This window comes from Homo sapiens, chromosome 16, assembly GCF_000001405.40.
Source record: "Homo sapiens chromosome 16, GRCh38.p14 Primary Assembly".
Lineage (NCBI taxonomy): Eukaryota > Metazoa > Chordata > Mammalia > Primates > Hominidae > Homo > Homo sapiens.
In genome coordinates, this window is record NC_000016.10 from 4717099 (window position 1) to 4733871 (window position 16773).

Here is a 16773-nt window from a genome sequence, read left to right on the forward strand (position 1 = left end):
GGGCGTGGTGGCACACGTCTGTACTCCCAGCTACTCAGGAAGCTGAGGAAGGAGAATTGCCTGAGTCCAGGAGGTGGAAGTTGCAATGAGCCAAGATCACGCCACTGCACACCAGCCTGGGCAACAGACGAAGCAAGACTCTATCTCAAAAATAAAAAATAATTTCTTGGCTGGGCACAGAGGCTCACACCTGTAATCCCAGCACTTTTGGAGGCTGAGGTGGGCGGATCACTTGAGGTCAGGAGTTTGAGACCAGCCTGGCCAACAACCAGCCTGGTCAGGAGTTTGAGACCAGCCTGTATCTACTAAAAACACAAAAGTTAGCTGGGAGTGGTGGCACACACCTGTAATCCCAGCTACTCGGGAGGCTGAGGCAGGAGAATCGCTTCAACACGGGAGGCAGAGATTGCAGTAAGCTGCTGCACTCCAGCCTGGGCGACAGAGGGCGACTCCATCTCAAGAAAAAAAAAAAATTCTAGTTTAAGTTTGATAGAAGGAACCCTAAGGTTTAACCAGAATAAAACAGTAGCCTCTTTACTGTAGGATTTTAACTCGTTATATATTTTTGGTTTTGTTTTTGAGGCAGAATCTCACTCTGTGGCCCACGCTGGATTACACTGGCTCATTGCAACCCTGACCTCCCCAGCTCAAGTGATCCTCCCTTCTCAGCCTCCCTGGGATTACAAACACACACCACAACTGGCTTTTTTTTTTTGAGACGGAGTCTCACTCTGTCACCCAGGCTGGAGTGCAATGGCGCAATCTCGGCTCACTGCAACCTCTGCCTTCCGGGTTCAAGTGATTCTCCCGCCTCAGCCTCCCAAGTAGCTGGGACTACAGGGGCACGCCACCACGCCCCGCTAATGGGGTTTCACCATGTTGGCCAGGCTGGTCTTGAACTCCTGACCTCAGGTGATCCACCTGCCTTGGCATCCCAAAGTGCTGGGATTACAGGCATGAGCCACCATGCCTGGCCAATTTTTTTTTTTTTTTTTTTTTTAATTTAGAGACAAGGTCTCACTGTATTGCCCAGACTGGTCTCCAACTCCAGCCTCAAGCGATCTTCCCACTTTGGCCTCTAAAAGTGCTGGGATTACTGGCATGAGCCACTATGCCTGATGTGAAAATAAATTTTTAACTACTTAGGCTTTAAGAGACTTTTTTTTCCTATTTTATAATGTCCATATTACTAAAGAGACACATGATCAAAACTCATTTTAACATGAAGGTGGGATCAGAAAGTTTAGAAACCCTGGAACAAGACTATCCGGAAGGCACGAATCAACTTTCTCTTAAAGAGAGAGGCCCAGACAGATCCATATCCTCTTCTCCTGACTGAGCTGCTGGGGCTTGGCCCCACTGGCAGAAGGGAAATGGGGGACAAGGAAAGCAGCCACAGCCCTTTCCTCCCCTAGCAAAGAGCACAAGATGCCCAGACTTGCCCCATTCTCTACCTCCAGAAATGGAGCCCAGCTCTGGAGGGACAGGCTGGGAAACCGGGTGGGCCCCCTCCTCTGGCTCCAGGTGGTCTAACTACTGGGCGGCAGGAAAAACGTGGGAGAGAGGAGCTTCCAGGCAGGGCTTGCCCACCAGCATCGCTGGCAGGCAAACCACCCAGGCCATCGGGCCACCTGCTGCCAGTCCTGCCCCATCCCCCAAAGCAGTCACTAACCAACACTTTGATTCTTGTCAAGTGCTGGAGGAAGAACTCAGTGTTGAGTTCCTGAGTCTGATAATTTTGTGTGACTGGGAAAGAGAACATTTTTGCTTTTAGGAAATACATAATGAAATTCTTACTCTCAGGAAATACATATTTAGGGGAAAAGGGGCATTATGTCACAATTTACATTTAAATGATTCAGAAAACATATGCATGTTATACATAAAGAGACTGATAAGAAAATGAGGTGAAATGTTAACATTTGGGGAATGTGGTAAAGGCATGCAAATTGTTGGCCAAGCACCGTGGTTCCTGCCTGTAATCCCAGCGCTTTGGGAGGCCAAGGTGGGAGGACCACTTGCAGCCAGGAGTTTGAGACCAGCCTAAGCAACTTAGTGAGACCCCAACTCTACAAAAAAATCAAATCAGCTAGTGTGATAGCATGCGCTTGTGGTCTCAGCTACTCAGGAGGCTGAGTTGCAAGGATCCCTTGAACCTGGGAGGTTGAGGCTGCAACAAACTATGATCGCGCCACTGTGCTCCAGCATGGGCAAACAGAGTGAGACTCTGTCTCAAAAAGAAACAAACATACAATCAAAAATTATAAGAGTACATATCTCTTATGATCTCCAGTTCTACCTTACTTAAAATGACTCTAAACTTACAAGTAGAGGCTCTTTATGGTTCTGGGCTATTGATTCTATGATGTGTCTTAAGGAAGTCTAGTTCATGTCAGCAGGATTATCTGTCAAAGAATTATCTGGCCGGGCATGGTGGCTCAGGTCTGTAACTCCAGCACTTTGGGAGGCCAAGGTGGGAAGATTGCTTGAGGCCAGGAGTTCAAGACCAGCCTGGGCAACATAGTGAGATTTTTGTCTCTACAAAAAAAAAACAGCCAGGCGTGGTAGTGCGTGCCTGTAGTCCCAGCTACTGAGGAGGCTGAGGCAGAAGGATTACTTCAGCCCAGGAGGTTGAGACTACAATGACCCATGATCAGGCCACTGCACTCTAGTGTGGTGACAAAGCAAGACCCTATATAAAAAAAATAAATAAAAAATACAAAAATAATTATTTGCAGAAAAAGAAACCCAAATGGCCAGGGAGCCAAAAAGTCTAACATCCTGGCCAGGCACAGTGGCTCACGCCTGTAATCCCAGCACTTTGGGAGGCTGAGGCAGACAGATCATGAGGTCAGGAGTTCGAGACCAGCCTGGCCAACATGGTGAAACCCTGTCTCCACTAAAAATACAAAAATTAGCTGGATATGGTGGCACACACCTGGAATCCCAGCTACTCGGGAGGCTGAGCCAGGCGAATTGCTTGAGCCTGGGAGTCAGAAGTTGCACTGAGCTGAGATCACACCACTGTACTCCAGCCTTGGGGACAGAGCAAGACCCCACCCCAAAAAAAAAAAAAAAAAAAAGGCCAGGCACGGTGGCTCACGCCTGTAATCCCAGCACTTTGGAAGACCAAGGCGGGCGGGTCACAAGGTCAAGAGATTGAGACCATCCTGGCCAACATGGTGAAACCCTGTCTCTACTAAAAATACAAAAATTAGCTGGGCATGGTGGCGAGTGCCTACAGTCCCAGCTACTCGGGAGGCTGAGGCAGGAAAATCGCTTGAACCTGGGAGGCAGAGGTTGCAGTGAGCCGAGATCGCGCCACTGCACTCCAGCCTGGGTGACAGAGAGAGACTCCATCTCAAAAAAAAAAAAGAAGTCTAACACCCTAAGGGGAGGGGTGTGAACCAGGACCACTATGGAACAAAGCAAGTTTACACTACCCACTACCGACTGAACCCACCTCACACAACAAAGACTCTACTTTGAAGAACACATCCTAAGCTCCTGAAGAAATTCCCATATGTGCTTAAAAAGACGTGTAAGAAATGTCAACGGTAGGCCAGGCGCAGTGGCTCATGCCTGTAATCTCAGCACTTTGGGAGGCCAAAGTGGTAGATCACTTGAGGTCAGGAGTTCAAGACCATCCTGACCAACATGCCGAAACCCTGTCTACTAAAAATACAAAATTAGCTGGGCGTGGTGGCACACGCCTGTAATCCCAGCTACTCAGGAGGCTGAGGCAGGAGAATCGCTTGAACCTGGGAGGCAGAGGTTGCAATGAGCCGAGATTGCGCCACTGCACTCCAGCCAGGGCTACAGAGCGAGACTCCATCTCAAAACAAACAAACAAACAAACAAAAAAACTCTGATTCATCCCTACAGGGAATACCATGCCACCATAAAAAAAAAAAAAAAAAAGAGAGGCCAGGCACGGTGGCTCACGCCTGTAATCCCAGCACTTTGGGAGGCCAAGGTGGGCGGATCACGAGGTCAGGAGATCGAGACCATCCTGGCTAACGCGGTGAAACCCCGTCTCTACTAAAAATATGAAAAATTAGCTGGGCATGGTGGCGGGCGCCTGTGGTCCCAGCTACTCGGGAGGCTGAGGCAGGAGAATGGTGTGAACCCGGAAGTCTGAGGTTGCAGTGAGCCGAGATCGTGCCACTGCACTCTAGCCTGGGCAACAGAGCAAGACGCCATCTCAAAAAAAAAAAAAAAAGAGAGGGGCTGGGTGCGTTGGCTCGTGCCTGTAATCCCAGCACTTTGGGAGACCGAGGCAGGCGAACTGCCTGAGCTCAGGAGTTCAAGACCAGCCTGGGCAACGTGGCAAAACCCCATCTCTACAAAAAAAATACAAAAATTGGCTGGGCGTGGTGGCACGCACCTGTAATCCCAGCTACTTGGGAGGCTGAGGCAGGAGGATCACTTGAGACCAGGAGGTCAAGGCTGCAGTGAGCTGAGACTGCACCACTCCACTCCAGCCTGAGGGACAGAGCAAGACCCCATCTCTTTATTGATTTATTGATTTATTTATTTATTTATTTATTTATTTATTTAGAGATAGTCTCACTCTGTCACCCAGGCTGGAGTGCAGTGGCAACATCTTGGCTCATCGCAACCTCTGCCTCCCAGGTTCAAGTGATTCTCCTGTCTCAGCCTCCCAAGTAGCTGGGATTACAGCGTCAGCCACCTGTATTTTGTATTTTTGTATTTTTGGTAGAGGCGGGTTTCACCACCTTGGCCAAGCTGGTCTCAAACTCCTGACCTCAAGTGATCTGTCTGCCTTGGCCTCTCAAAGTGCTGGGATTACAGGAGCGAGACAATGCACCTGGCCCCGTCTCTTTATACACCAATATAGAAAAATCTTCATGATTAAGTTTTTTAAAAAATGCAAGATGGGAGCAGCTGCACATGGGGCAGGACCATGAGCATGTGTGGGTGTATTCCCAGAGTCGCCCGTGGGGAGGGTGCCAAGGAGACGCAGGCAGGGTGGGGGACAGGCCTGCGGTGCACCCACCTTCTGGTCTGCATGTGTACCATGTGCATGTTGTGTCCCAAAATTCTTTGTTAAAAAGAGATACCATGTGAATTTTTCACTATTTAAGAAATTCCCACCAATAAGTGAGAAAAAAACAAACTATCCAATAGAAAATTGGGCAATAAACATAGACAGCTCGTAAGAGAAATACAAATGGCCAGCCGGGCACAGTGGCTCACACCTGTAATCCCAGCACTTTGGGAGGCCAGGGCGGGCAGATCATGAGGTCAGGAGATCGAGACCATCCTGGCTAACACGGTGAAACCTTGTCTCTACTAAAAATACAAAAAATTAGCCGGGATTTTTTGTATTTTTAGTCCCAGCTACTCGGGAGGCTGAGGCAGGACAATCTCTTAAACCTGGGAGGTGGAGGTTGCAGTGAGCTGAGATCATGCCACTGTACTCCAGCCTGGGCGACTGAGTGAGACTCAGTCTCAAAAAAAAAAAAAAAAAAGAAATACAAATGGCTAAGAAATCAATTTAAAAATGTTCAACTGGCTGGGCGCAGTGGCTTATGCCTGTAATCCTAGCACTTTGGGAGGCTAAGGTGGGTGGATTGCCTGAGTTCAGGAGTTCAAGAGCAGCCTGGGCAACATGGTGAAACCTCATCTCTACTAAAATACAAAAAATTAGCCAGGTGTGCGGGCGGGTGCCTGCAGTCCCAGCTACTCGGGAGGCTGAGGCAGAAGAACTGCTTGAACTTGGGAGGTAGAGGTTGCAGTGAGCCGAGATCACGCCACTGCACTCCAGCCTTCCAGCCTGGGCGACACAGCACAAGACTTCTGTCTCCAAAAAAAAAAAAAAAGAAAAAAATTTCAACTACTCTAACAAGGACAAACTAAAATGAGACGCTACAATTCACCCGCCAGATTGACAAAAGGTTGACTGACATCAGGACTGGTGAGGACAAGAGAAAATGGACACCTTTGTCTATGACTGGTGGGCAGGACAACAGACAACCTTGGTAGTGGGAATTCATCAGGACCGCCTGCACTTCCCCCCATTGGGTTTAACAGCCTTATAAAGATATAATCCACATACCAACAAGTCACCCACTTACAATGTACAATTCAACGGCTTCTCGTATATTCACAGTTGTTCAACCATCACCACAAACAATTTTAGCACATTTTTATCACCCCAATCTTCCCATTCCCCAAGACCCAGGAAACCACTCATCTATTTTCTGTCTATGTATTTGCTTATTCTGGACATTTCCTATGAGTGAAATCACCTAGTGTGTGGCCTGTTGTGTCTGGCTTCTTTCACTGAGCCGAATGTTTTCCTTTTCTTTTTCTTTTTGAGGCAGGATCCACTCTGTGACCCAGAATGGAGTGTGGCGGCGCAATCATAGCTCACTGCAACCTCCAACTCCAGGGCTGAAGCGACCCTCTGGCCTCAGCCTCCCAAAGTGTTGGGATTACCGGCGTGCGCCACCGCACCCAGCCCAGCCTAACGCATCAGGGTTCACCCCTGCCGCAGCATGCAGCAGTACTGCATTACTTTGTAGGGCCGAATAATATCCTGCTATACAGATATATATTTTGTTTATCAATTCCTCAGTAGATGGACTTGTGGGTTTTTCTACTTTTTGGCAATTATGAATAATACTGCTATGAATATTTATGTACAAGGTTCTGTGTGGACAGGCTTGCACCTGTGATCCCAGCACTTTGGGAGGCTGAGGTGATCGCTTGAGCTCAGGAATTCAAGACTAGCCTGCACAACATACTGAGACCCCCAACTCTACCAAAAAAAAAAAATTAAATAATTAGCCGGGGCATGGTAGCATGCACCTGTAGTCCCAGCTACTTGGGGGCTGAGGCAGGAGGATCGCTTGAGCCCAGGAGGCTGAAGCTGCAGTGAGCCACGATCTCGCCACTGAACTCCAGCCTGGGATACAGGGCAACACCATGTCTCAAAAAAATAAATTAATAAAATAAAACAGAAATACAACATACAGAAATAACTGCAAATGTATTAAAGCTATGTGTAAAAGGATATTCCCGGAACACTGTTTATAATTGCAAAATGTTAAAAACTAAGTTTCTACTAATAAGAAACTCATTAAATTAACTGAGGCAGATTGTACACGGAATACTGTACAAAGATAAGATGTCTATAAGATGTCTCTAAGTTACAGACTATACGTAGAATCCCACTTTGTTCAAAACACAAAGCAATGTGCACACACTTGCCTACAGACACATCTTTCCACAGCAGAGGAAAAGTCCTAGGGCAGCTCTTTCTCAAACCAAGTGGGCATCAGGGAGGTTGAAAAAGAGAGGAGGATCTCTGCCTTCTTATTCTATATAATTTTTCTAAGTGACAGGATTATGAGTGCTATTTACTTTTAAAATATTTTTCCATAATTTTCAGATAGTATTTTCAAAATTATTACAGGAATAGGTGTCTATTTCTACTCACCACTGTATCCTTAATGCCTAAGCACCACTCAACACCGGGCGTCAATAGATAATGAAAATGTGTTGAATAAATGAATGAAAGTTATTTCTGTGCAAAGGAAAATTCTGTAATAGCTTATACTTCAGTAATATGATTCCTCATTTGCCGTGACTACATTACATGCTAATAATCAGGGTCACTTACGTGATTCAGAAAATACTGCACGATTATCTCATGGCCAGCAGCAGCTGCTTCCATCAAGGGAGTAAATCCACATATCGGCTCCCTGCAAGATGTGGGCCACAGTCAGATGATTGGAAGAGACAAGTTCCGCCAGGCAAAAACTCCCTGCTGAAGATAAACCCTGAGCAGTGCACGAGTCACCGATCCCTAAGCGTAGAACACTGTCCCTTTCCAGAATTAACAGGTGACATGAGAACAGTGAATATAACACATCAGCTCCATTTACTCTTCTGGTGTCTGTCCCCAGGGCTGGTCTTTGTCCTAAAGACAGATGTCTGCCTGTCGTCCCACCTGTTGGCTATTCCCACTGGCTACCTCTGAAATCTCCACCTCAATCATATTCAAAAAGCTGTTCTAATTCCTCACAGAAAGCCAGCATCTCCCATCCATTCATCCAAATCCTGGCTTCAAGTTCAACGTCCTCCATGAACCCACTCTGAAAAGTTCAAGTACTAATGATCTAAGCTATCTTTGCCACGCTTAGCTCCTGAAGCTTGCTTTTCATGCTTGGTTATGCTAACTCGGCACTGTCTTCAGAGGGCTTCCAAATCCCTCCTTGTCTCATGCTGGTTTGGAAGTCAGGAACCATGCATGGGAAATGCTGGTTTTCATCCATCTTAAGACACACAGTGTTCATATTTTAACATCTCTCAAGTCAGAAAACATCTTTAAATCAACAGGCGAGTTGAATGTTAATTAGTAGCATATTTTTTCTTTCTTAGTGGCATACAAAATTATCAGGTGTCTTAGAATGAATGACAGCCAGGGTGGGTGCTGCATTGGTACCCGCTGCGTTTGTTCAAAGGTGATTATTATCATGACAAGCTTTAGACAACAATCCCACTTCCAACTTATAAAACTCATGACTGGTTTTTTGTTTGTTTTTGAGACAGAGTTTTGCTCTTGTTGCTCAGGCTGGAGTGCAGTGGCACGATCTCTCAGTTCACTGCAACCTCTGCCTTCTGGTTTCAAGTGATTCTCCCGCCTCAGACTCCCGAGTAGCTGGGATTACAGGCACCTGCCACCACGCCCAGCTAATTTTTGTATTTTTAGTAGAGACGGGGTTTCACCATGTTGGCCAGACTGGTCTCGAACTCCTGACCTCATGATCTGCCCGCCTTGGCCTCCCAGAGTGCTAGGATTACAGGTGTGAGCCACTGAGCCCGGCCAAAACTCATGACTGTTGTTTTTGTTTTTTTTTTTTTGAGATGGAGTCTTGCTCTGTCACCCAGGCTGGAGTGCAGTGGTGCAATCTCGGCTCACTGCAAGCTCCACCTCCCGGGTTCACACCATTCTCTTGCCTCAGCCTCCCGAGTAGCTGGGACTACAGGCGCCCGTCACCATGCCCAGCTAATTTTTTCGTATTTTTAGTAGAGATGGGGTTTCACCATGTTAGCCAGGATGGTCTCGATCTCCTGACCTCGTGATCTGCCTACCTCGGCCTCCCAAAGAGCTGGGATCACAGGCGTGAGCCACCACGCCCGGCCTCATGACTGTTTCAAAGCATCACCTCACCTCATCCATACAAAAAGCAAGAAAATGGAAGGAATTTGCATGTAATGTATGACATTTAAATGCCATTCAGTATGTTAGGCCCCTGGCATACAATAAAACATGTAATTCTTACAACTGTATGACCCAGGTGGGTTTCAGATAAAGAAAAGGAAGCTGAGAGGGCTTGAAGAGATGCATCTCACAGATGTACGAAAAGGCCTGTGCCTGGAAGGACTCTGGTCCTACCCCTCATCTTGAGCCTCTCGTGCCGAAGCAGGGTGGCCCTAAACTCTGGTTAGCTGCCTCCAGAGCCACCCTCCTTAGAGTCAGATGACACCTAGGCCACTCCTGTGGCCACTAAAGATGTGGCAATCACCTCACGTTGGCATTGGCTCCACTGTCCAAGAGGAACCTGACCATGTGCTGGTGCCCGGCGCTGGTACAGTGGAAGAGGGCTGTCCAGCCCTGGATGTCTTTCATTTCTAGCTCTGCACCTTGCTTCAAGAGAACACAGAACGTGCGTTACGGCCTCATCTCCTCTGCGTGGGGCGGGCGCCCTCCAGGCGGCCATGCTGCAAGAATCAGAAGTGATTACACGAGCACACACGAACACCGTGGCCTGCAGTGGTTCGCATCTCTGTCAGGGTGGCCACGGAGCCCCTCAGGTTTCTGGGCCTGAGTTCCCTCGTAGCTCACCTGGAGAAGAAAGTAGGCGATGCTCTCGTTGCCACAGCTGGAGGCCAGCATCAGTGGAGTCTGCCCTTCTGGGGTCGGCACATTCACACTCACCCCCGCCTCAAGCAGCAGGTGCACGATTGTGTCGTGGCCAATGTAGGAGGCATACATCAGCGGGGTCCAGCCACCACCATTCTTCTTATTCAAATCTAACTCTCTCCTAAACAAACGCAAGATATGCTAGACATGGCCAGCCGCCTCGCATGTGGGGTTCACCAAAGCTGGTGGCGAGGCTAGGCCAGGCGGGATGAGTTGACAGGAAGCAGAAGTTATCTGCCACCCTGGACGTTGTGGGGATTGGAGGCAGGCAGGCAGAAAAATGCTGACAGTTGCTCGTACACTGCCTTGTGAGGCCCTGAGCCTTCGTCTCCTTGCTCTGATTTCGCATCCTCCTAGCCCAAGGCCAGCTATGCTCTTTCACACCACCAGATAGGCAGATGGCACTCAACCAGGGAATATGTGGCAATGTGTGAAGGCATTTTTGGTTCTCACAACTGGGCAGGGAAGGGCTGCTGGAGGCCAAGGCTGCCGCTAAACATCCCACAGTGTCCAGGACAGCCCCCACAGCAAAGAATGATCCAGCCTGGATTGTCAACACAGCCACAGTTGAAAAACCCTGACCACCACAGGCCTGGCATCTACTAGCCCACTGCTGGGTGGAGAGGAGCAGTGAGGAAAGAAGGGACTCCACCGTGGACAAGTCCCACCGCCACTGATTCATCCTTTGTCACCTCACCTTAAAGAAACATTCTTGAAAAATCTGTGACCAAAGAATCCCATCTTTCTCACTGATTGCTGTTAAAATTCTGGCAATGCATTTTCCCATGGGAAAAAACTGTGGGCTTCCTAGCTGCGACTCTGGGGTTGGGACAAGGGAGTCACATTTAAAATAATACCCACTTGCATGGTTACCTGGGATCCTACATGGTTAACGCCCACAGGCCTTCTTTCCCTTCCCCAGTTCTTGCCTGCAGAGGGGATAACAACTGGTGACTGAACCCCAGGATCTGTCCCTTTTACGGGATTCACTTTTTTGTTGTTTTTTTGAGACAGAGTCTCGCTCTGTCGCCCAGGCTGGAGTGCAGTGGCGCGATCTCGGCTCACTGCAAGCTCCGCCTCCCAAGTTCACGCCATTCTCCTGCCTCAGCCTCCCAAGTAGCTGGGACTACAGGCGCCCGCCACTACGCCCAGCTAGTTTTTTGTATTTTTAGTAGAGATGGGGTTTCACCGTGTTAGCCAGGATGGTCTCGATCTCCTGACCTCGTGATCCACCCGCCTTAGCCTCCCAAAGTGCTGGATTACAGGCGTGAGCCACCGCGCCCAGCCGGGATTCACATATTAGACCACAGCAGGCAACTACCTTCCATTGCCTGGCAGCCCTCAGTGACTCTGGGATGCACACCTGGGCAGCCATTCCAGAAGGTCCTGATACCAGGGTTCAGTGGCAGCCCCTGGCCAGGGGGGCTGCATGGAGATGCCTCTGCAGCAGGGCTCGAATGCACCCAGCTCGTCCTAACACTATCTTCCTTTACACAACAGCAGAGCATCTCCCTGGGGCTCTCTTACCACTCCTCGTTCAGCCCCACCCCTTCCTTCTGATGCCCCCAGCTCCCCTCAGGCCCCATCCTGTGCTTACTATCAGCAAGCCTCCACCTCAGCTAGTGTCAAAATCCCATCACAACACAAACGCCTCCCCCTGCTCCTCTATGGAGCGGTTATGGACTCTGCATCTTAACAGGACACCCAAAGACTTAAGAGCCTGAGAATTCCAAACGTGACCCTTTGAGGGGCCGTACTGACTGCATACCCAGCTGCCTATGCCTAGAGCCTCCTGTGGAGGGAGCGCAACAGACCACCCTGTACCAAGGTGCACCAGCACTCCATGGGCTGGGTATGTCTAAGTGAGGGCCACAACTTGGGAACCGGAGACCTGGGGCTTCAGCAATGCTTTGCTTTGGCTCACTGGGAACTGGAAGAGGCACGCAGAGAGAGGAAGAGAGGTCGCTGCACCACAATATCAAATGAGAACCAGGAGACAGAGTTAGGCTGTGTGTGGAACATAAGGGGGTGGAAGTGAGGAGACGACCCTTTTCCAAAAACAAGATGATCACATCCTACTATGGGCAAGACGCAGCCATGGACCCTGCCAGGGGCTTTATATTGTCTCTAACTATTGTACACAGATTAGCAAAGGGCAGGTGGGCAGTGACGTCGGGAGGTCATTCCCCAGAGGCACTGAAAGCCCAGCCTCTCTCCTCCTCCATGGCAGAAGCTAGAGGGGAACAGGGATCACAGGGATCGAATGAACCCTCCGGGAAAAGAAGGCCAGGGATCACTTTCTTTTTTCTTTTTTTTGTTTTTGAGACAGAGTCTCACTCTGTTGCCCAGGCTAGAGTGCAGTGGCGCAATCTCAGCTCACTGTAACCTCCACCTCCCGGGTTCAAGCGATTCTCCTGCCTCAGCCTCCTGAGTAGCTGGGATTACAGGTACATGCCACCACACCCAGCTAACTTTTATATTTTTAGTAGAGATGGGGTTTCATCATGTTATCCAGAATGGTCTCAAACTCCTGACCTCAAGTGACCCGCCCATCTCAGCCTCCCAAAGTGCTGGAATTACAAGTGTGAGCCACCGCACCAGGCCATCACTTTCTGTCTTTATTTTTATTTTGCTTGTTTGTTTGGGCATTTCTGCAATTAGTGAATAAAATTAGTCTGGTTAAAGAATGACTGTTTATAAGCTTCTGATCAAAGTTTACTCCCTCTTTTTCTTCCTAGGAATAAAAACGGCCTCTTTGTCAGGGCTCAGCATCAATACTTACTGACAGCTGCCTGAGATAAGCAGGTTAACCTATTCTACACGCATTAAACATCCACAACTGTGTGCAAAGCCCCATCACGTGGGATCGAAGCCATCACTGCGCTGCTCAAAATGTGAGAGGAAGTTCCCCGAGATCTCTTACCGCTGCACACACTCCTTCACCACTTCATACTGGCCAATGGAAGCAGCTGTGTGAAGATCCAGGGGGACATCCAGCTCCTCCCCGCTGACCTGTGTCCCGAGCCCGTGCCACATGGACAAGCTGCGGTTCAGGAGTTCCGGCTCGCTGGCTTCATCGCTGAGCTCGGACATCACTGAGGAGGAAGGCCCAAGGGTTAGATCTTTCCTGGCTGGTTGTTCCAGGGCATGAAACAGGCTGGTCCTGCCCCTGCTACACCACTGCACTAGCAGACTGATAACCCAGTGCAGTCAACCCCGGGAGTAACTCAGACAAATTTATTTGCTGAAATAATGTATGCTTTGGGCAGTCCCAACCATGCTAAATCTGGTGAGCCTGCTATCACACCAGTAAAGAGGAGCACATATGGTGAGGCATTAACTGTGGAGTACCTGCTCCTCCTTCCAACCGCAGGCACCAGGTAAAAGAGAATTCTCCACCAACTCTAGGAACCTGACAACCTCTTGGATGGGCAGTGAAGAAATGCTAATTGGGTTGTTTAACCCAATCAGTTCCTTGATGTGGTGGGGAAGAACCCTGGATTTGGGGTTTGATCAAAATTCAGCTTGGACCCGGTGCGGTGGCTCACACCTGTAATCCCAGCACTTTGGGAGGCCAAGGTGGGCAGATCACTTGAGGTCAAGAGTTCAAGACCAGCCTGGCCAACATGGTGAAATCCTGTCTCTACTAAAAATACAAAAATTAGCTGGGCATGAAGGCCAGCTACTCGGGAGGCTGAGGTAGGAGCATCACTTGAACTGAGGAGGCGGAGGTTGCGGTGAGCCAAGATCACGCCATTGCACTCCAGCCTGGGAAACAGAGCAAGACTTTGTCTCCAAAAACAAAACAAAAAAAAAAAACAACAAAAAAGCAGCTCTGCTACTTAGCAACTCCAATCCCTAGTGCCTCACTGTCTAACGGGGACATATCTAAAAAGGCTGCTATTATGATACATAAAAGAATGGATAAACAAACGGTGGCACATCCATATAATGGATGCTACTCAGCATTAAACACAAGGATCCAACAGTTGACATGCAACACGTGAATGAATTTCAAATGATTTACGCTAAATGGAAGAAGCCTGCCTACAGTATAATTTCACTTACATGACATTCTGGAAAAGGCAAAATTAAAGGGTTGGAGGTTGGGGCAGAGAGGGAATTTGGGGGACGATAGACCTGTATGACTGTGACGGTGGATCTGTGACTCCATGCCTTTATGAAACCACAGAACTGAACACCAAAATGAATTTTACTGTATGTAAATTTTATTTATTTTTTTGAGACAGTCTCGCTCTGTTGCCCAGGCTGGAGTGCAGTGGCATGATTTCAGCTCACTGGAACCTCTGCCTCCTGGGTTTAAGGGCTTCTTGAGCCTCAGCCACCTGAATAGCTGAGATTACAGGTGTGCGCCATCATGTTAGGCTAATTTTTGTATTTTTAGTAGAGACGGGGGTTTCACCATGTTGGCCAGGCTGGTCTCGAACTCCTCACCTCAGGTGATCCGCCCGCCTCAGCCTCTCAAAGTCCTGGAAATATAGGCGTGAGCCACTGCACCTGGCCTGTAAATTTTAAATATAAATTAATTTTTCTGGAATGGTTATGAAATTGAAAATTTCAAAAAAGTAAAAATAAATTTTTCTGAAAAAAATAGAAAGCAATTCCCCAACAGACAAACCAGGATGTGACTGGTGGCACGCAGCAACCGTCAACTGAATAGGAATCCACTTAGGCATCCTTTGAAGAGAGAGCTATGGGGGGAAATATAACAGGCCGGTGAACTGGTGAGGTAACACTTTCCCCGAGATGGGCCTACATGGGTAACGGCACACCAGGAATCCCCAAATCAAGGCAAGGTCATCAGCTTCCTAGTAGAATCCTTAGGTACAAGAGTGCCAGGAAACAAGGGTAGGAAAGGGAGCAAAGGCGAAAACAAAGGCCTTGTCAGGTTGTGATGACCTACAGGTGCTATGGTAGTTAATAGATGCGATGAGGACCTCAGTTTCTATTAAAGAATGCTTCCAAGCCCCAGGTGACAGCCAAGATGGCTAAAGAAACAAGCCACCAATGTGGGAGACGAACACTTCACAGACCCTTGGTGAAGAGTGTGTGTAGGTGCGGTGGGGCAAGCAAAGCCCTCCTTCCTGGAGCCACCACCTCTTCAGCTAGCAGAGCCCAAGATCGTGCAGTGCCCTTCCCTCACTTTGCAGGTGAGAATCCCACCCTAACAGCCCTGGCCAACGAAGCCTGGATAAGAAACCAAACGAGCTGAGGGTCAGTTCAGAGTCCCTTCCATACCTCCCTCAAGCCTTCACTGGGCATGTCTCTTCCACGCCAAAGGCCTCCTGCAGGGTGAGGCCGTGTTCTCTATTTACTGGAGACTTGCATATCTGACATCCCCAGAGGTCTGAAGGACAATGAGAACCAGACCAAGCGTGACGGACCACTTGAGGCCAGGAGTTCGAGACCACCCTGGCCAAAATGGTGAACTCCCATCTTTACTAAAATTACAAAAATTAGCTGGGTGTGGTGGTGGGCGCCTGTAGTCTCAGTACTCAGGAGGCTGAGGCAAGAGAATCGCTTGAGCCTGGGAGGCGATTGCAGTGAGCCGAGCTCAAGCCACTGCACTCCAGCCTGGGCAACAGAGCGAAATTCTGTCTCAAAAAAAAAAACAAAAAAAAAACACTAAAGTGAAAACTAAAATGTCCCATCCCGAGTGGTGTGGTGTAAAGTAGCATTAGAGATAAGACGTTTTAGTTTTCATTCAACTTTTTGGTTCTGTCCATTCTGAAAATGCTAAGTATCTGTTACCTTTACAGTGAATCCTAAAGAAAATGTGGTACTTAGACACAATGGAGTACTATTCAGCCATAAAAAAAGAATGAGATCCTATCATTTGCAAAAACATGGATGGAAGCGGAGATCGTTATGTTTAGTGAAATAAGCCAGGCACAGAAAGATAAATATTGCATGTTCTCAATTATTTGTGGTTATCTAAAAATCAAAACAACTGAACTCATGGACATAGAAAGTAGAAGGATGGTTACTTCTAGTGTAACCAAGGCTGGGAAGGGTAGTGGAGGGTGGGGATGCTTAATGGATACAAAAAAAACAGAATGAATAAGATCTAGTATTTGATCAAGCCACTGCACTCCAGCCTGGGCGACAAAGCGAGACTCCGTCTCAAAAAAAAAAAAAAAAAAAAAAAGATCTAGTATTTGACCGCACAACAGGGTGACTATAGTCAATATAATCTAATTGCACATTTTATTTATTTATTATTATTTTTTTTGAGACATAATCTCACTCTGTTACCCAGGCTAGAGTGCAGCGGCGTGATCTCGGCTCAATGCAACCTCCGCCTCCTGGGTTCAAGCGATTCTCCTGCCTCAGCTTCCCGAGTAGCTGAGATTACAGGTATGAGCCACCATGCCAGCCTAGTTTTCGTATGTTTAGTAGAGACGAAGTGTCCCCATGTTGGCCAGGCTGGTCTCAAATCCTTGACTTCAGGTGATCCGCCCGCCTTTGCCTCCCAAAGTGCTAGGATTACAGGCGTGAGTGAGCCACCGCGCCCGGCTGCACATTTAAAAATAATTCAAAGAGTATAATCATATTGTTTGTAACACAAAGGATAAATGCTTGAAGGGATGGAGACCCCCATTTTACATGTGATTATTACGAACTGCATGCCTGTATCAAAATCTCTCATATACGCCATAAATATATACACCTACTACGTACCCACAAAAATTAAAAAATTTTTAAAAATCTTAACAAATGTGATGCTGGTGGTAACTGTCACGCCCACAGAGGAGGTCTGTGAAAGCACCCAGGCACCCCCTCTCGCCCCGTGG

At 48.2% G+C, this 16773-nt stretch overlaps 1 protein-coding gene across 12 annotated transcripts in view, besides 4 other annotated features; it reads right to left on the reverse strand.

Moving 5' to 3' along the window:
- ANKS3 (ankyrin repeat and sterile alpha motif domain containing 3) overlaps window positions 1–16773 on the reverse strand; it is a 37761-nt gene that overhangs the window by 20588 nt on the left and 400 nt on the right. For 2 of the 12 annotated variants that reach the window (NR_040252.2, NM_001324130.2), the window contains exons 2-5: window positions 12882–13053; window positions 9881–10079; window positions 9561–9756; window positions 7652–7733 (exon numbers count right to left, since the gene is read on the reverse strand). Coding sequence is in view for 8 of the 12 variants with exons in the window: in XM_011522372.2 (XP_011520674.1) it covers window positions 7652–7733; window positions 9561–9682; window positions 9881–10079; window positions 12882–13053 (575 nt within the window). In the remaining 4 variants the exon portion in view is untranslated. Of the gene's footprint in view, window positions 1–344; window positions 391–7651; window positions 7734–9560; window positions 9757–9880; window positions 10080–12881; window positions 13054–14413; window positions 14482–16773 lie in introns of those variants that run through there. The other 10 variants (XM_011522373.2, XM_011522372.2, NM_001242929.2 and 7 more) reach the window with 8 other exon arrangements.
- Window positions 950–1552: an enhancer, noted in NCBI's record as "H3K27ac-H3K4me1 hESC enhancer chr16:4768049-4768651 (GRCh37/hg19 assembly coordinates)". NCBI's record gives its function as "activates a minimal SCP1, AML or CMV promoter by ChIP-STARR-seq in naive H9 embryonic stem cells {active_cell/tissue: H9 hESC(naive)}" and the evidence as "EXISTENCE:reporter gene assay evidence [ECO:0000049][PMID:30033119]".
- Window positions 950–2154: a biological region, named in NCBI's record as "H3K27ac-H3K4me1 hESC enhancers GRCh37_chr16:4768049-4768651 and GRCh37_chr16:4768652-4769253".
- Window positions 1410–1704: a silencer, noted in NCBI's record as "tiled region #8628; K562 Repressive non-DNase unmatched - State 16:ElonW". NCBI's record gives its function as "represses a minimal TATA promoter and a strong SV40 promoter by Sharpr-MPRA in K562 cells {active_cell/tissue: K562}" and the evidence as "EXISTENCE:reporter gene assay evidence [ECO:0000049][PMID:27701403]".
- Window positions 1553–2154: an enhancer, noted in NCBI's record as "H3K27ac-H3K4me1 hESC enhancer chr16:4768652-4769253 (GRCh37/hg19 assembly coordinates)". NCBI's record gives its function as "activates a minimal SCP1, AML or CMV promoter by ChIP-STARR-seq in naive and primed H9 embryonic stem cells {active_cell/tissue: H9 hESC(naive and primed)}" and the evidence as "EXISTENCE:reporter gene assay evidence [ECO:0000049][PMID:30033119]".